This window comes from Homo sapiens, chromosome 18 (genome assembly GCF_000001405.40).
Source record: "Homo sapiens chromosome 18, GRCh38.p14 Primary Assembly".
Classification (NCBI taxonomy): Eukaryota; Metazoa; Chordata; class Mammalia; order Primates; family Hominidae; genus Homo; species Homo sapiens.
Genome location: NC_000018.10, coordinates 60,801,980 through 60,805,100, shown reverse-complemented (window position 1 = coordinate 60,805,100; position 3,121 = coordinate 60,801,980). Strand labels below are relative to the sequence as shown.

The 3,121-nt window shown below is 37.2% G+C and overlaps 1 annotated feature.

The window, feature by feature from the left end:
- Positions 296-1,031: an enhancer, noted in NCBI's record as "OCT4-NANOG hESC enhancer chr18:58471303-58472038 (GRCh37/hg19 assembly coordinates)". NCBI's record gives its function as "activates a minimal SCP1, AML or CMV promoter by ChIP-STARR-seq in naive and primed H9 embryonic stem cells {active_cell/tissue: H9 hESC(naive and primed)}" and the evidence as "EXISTENCE:reporter gene assay evidence [ECO:0000049][PMID:30033119]".

Here is a 3,121-nt window from a genome sequence, read left to right as displayed (position 1 = left end):
AGTTCCTTGATCAGTTGGAAAAAAATGCATATTAAAGTACTATTGTACAACTGTAGCAGGGCCACTTGAAGTTATTATGTCCTTGCTCTGGCCTTGAGGCTTTGGAAGAAAACCATATATTGTCGTTCACATTCAGCTTGGCAGAGTGCAAAATGACATATCATCAAAGCCCCTGTATTTGCAAATCAAGAGACCAGTTGTCTGCTTGAGGACAATTTACATGGTGTTGCGGCAAAGCCAAGGCCAAAGGCTGAATGTTAGAAACATGAAATAATTAGCAAAAGAAGGTAGTGATGAAGAAAACCAAGAAAGCCTTAACATTTCCCTCAGGTAGATTATACACAGGCTGATTCCTGCCTCTAAGTCCCTGAACTGCTTCTCATGCAAGCGTTACAGAATCCAGATGGCCTAACCACAGGGTCGCTTTACTCACTTTCCTTAGATCATTTACATTAAAAAAGTTGTAATTGTAAAATCTTTCTTTTCCCCTTTCAGATGTAGATCCTTTTAAAAGTCTGTTGACAGTTTTTACAAAGACCTGAGATCTATCCTTTTGAAATGTAATCATTAAGGGAAATAGCACTCCTATTTTCTAGTGTCCCTGGGAGTATAGGGTCCTATTTCTGGTGGGCACGTAGGGCTAGGTGTAAAACTTCCTTCTGTCATGAAGATACAAAGAAAGTTTACTTCTTTTTTTTTTTTTTCTTATTTTACTTTCAGTTCTGGGACACATGTGCAGAACATGCAGGTTTGTTACGTAAGTATACATGTGCCATGGTGGTTTGCTGCACCTATCAACCCATCATCTAGATTTTAAGCCCCACTTGCATTAGGTATTTGTCCTAATGCTCTCCCTCCCCTTGTCCCCACCCCCTGACAGGCCCCAGTGTGTGATGTCCCCCTTCCTGTATCCATGTGTTCTCCTTGTTCAACTTCCACATATGAGTGAGAACATGTGGTATTTGGATTTCTGTTCCTGTGTTAGTTTGCTAACAGTGATGGTTTCCAGCTTCATCTATGTCCCTGCAATGGATATGAACTCATTCTTTTTAATGGCTGCATAGTATTCCATGGTGTTTATGTGCCACATTTTCTTTATCCAGTCTATCATTGATGGGCATTTGAGTTGGTTCCAAGTCTTTGCTATTGTGAATGGTGCTGCAATAAACATATGTGTGCATGTGTCTTTATAGTAGAATGATTTATAATTCTTTGGGTATAGACCCAGTAATGGGGTTGCTGGGTCAAATGGTAATTCTGGTTCTAGATCCTTGAGGAATTGCCACACTGTCTTCCACAAAGGTTGACCTAATTTACACTCCCACAAAGAGTGTAAGAGCATTCCTATTTTTCCACAGCCTCGCCAGCATCTGTTGTTTCCTGACTTTTTAATGATCACCATTCTAAATCGTGTGAGATGGTATCTCATTGTGGTTTTGATTTGCATTTCTCTAATGACCAGTGATGATGAGCTTTTTTTCATATGTTTGTTGGCCACATAAATGTCTTCTTTTGAGAAGTGTCTGTTCATATCCTTCACCCACTTTTTGATGGGGTTGTTTTTTCTTGTAAATTTGTTTAAGTTCCTTGCAGATTCTGGATATTAGACCTTTGTCAGATGGATAGATTGCAAAAATTTTCTCCCGTTCTGTAGGTTGCCTGTTCACTCTGATGATAGTTTCTTTTGCTGTGCGGAAGCTCTTTAATTTAATTAGATCCTATTTGTCAATTCTGGCTTTTGCTGCAATTGATTTTGGCGTTTTAGCCATGAAGTCTTTGCCCCTGCCTATGTCCTGAATGGCATTGCCTAGGTTTTCTTCTAGGGTTTTTATGGTTTTAGGTTTTACATTTAAGTCTTTAATCCATCTTGAGTTAATTTTTTTATAAGGTGTAAGGAAGGGGTTCAATTTCTGTTTTCTGCATATGGCTAGCCAGTTTTCCCAGCACCATTTATTAAATAGGGAATCCTTCTCCATTGCTTGTTTTTGTCAGGTTTGCCAAAGATCAGATGGTTGTAGATGTGTGGTATTATTTCTGAGGCCCCTGTTCTGTTCCATTGGTCTATATATCTGTTTTGGTACCAGTACCATGCGGTTTTGATTACTGTAGACTTGTAGCATAGTTTAAAGTCAGGTAGCGTGATGCCTTCAGCTTTGTCCTTTTTGCTTAGGATTGTCTTGGCTATATAGGCTCTTTTTTGGTTCCATATGAAATTTAAAGTAGTTTTTTTTTCTAATTCTGCAAAGAAAGTCAATGGTAGCATTGAATCTATAAATTACTTTGGGCAATATGGCCATTTTCATGGTATTGATTCTTCCTATCCATGAGCATGGAATTTTTTTCCATTTGTTTGTGTCCTCTCTTATTTTGTTAAGCAGTGATTTGTAGTTCTCCTTGAAGAGGTCCTTCCCATCTCTTTTAAGTTGTATTCCTAGGTATTTTATTCTCTTTGTAGCAATTGTGAATGGGAGTTCACTCTTGATTTGGCTCTCTGCTTCTCTATTATTTGTATATAGGAATGCTTTACTTTCATTTGGATAAGGCCAATTAGCCAAAAACTGTCATATGATTTTCTTACTTTAACTCCTAAAAGCTCAGACTGGATTCTGGTTTCTCCCCTCTATTGTGATAGCCTTGTATAAAGTCTTCCTTTCATGTTTAACTGTGGTGAAATTTTTCATTGACAAACATCCATACATTAGCAAAACTGAAATGTTTATAAAGCACTTCTGAAATTTAAAAAGAAATTACAGAAATTCTAAGAAGACTGAATGTCTCTACACTAATTAATGAGCAAATAGTTTAACTTTTTGGTAAGCCCCTATTATTCAGAACTGAATTAAGTTAGGCTAAAACTAAGAATAGTTCCTCTTAATTGAGTGAAGAAAAAAATGTCTTCTGTCATGTAAATTGTATGTGAACTTTCTCTCTGAAGTCTCCTTCTCCATGGATATTTCTGTTTAGCCTTAACAGCATACACTGCTGCCCATGGTTTCCCTGTGAAGAAAATAGAGAGGGGCTTATAATGGAAAAAAAAATGGCCTATTTAAAAATTAGCTAAATTTGTATCTGATTAAGTTTAATTCCATTCTAATGTACTTTTAACATCTGCGTCTTAGGT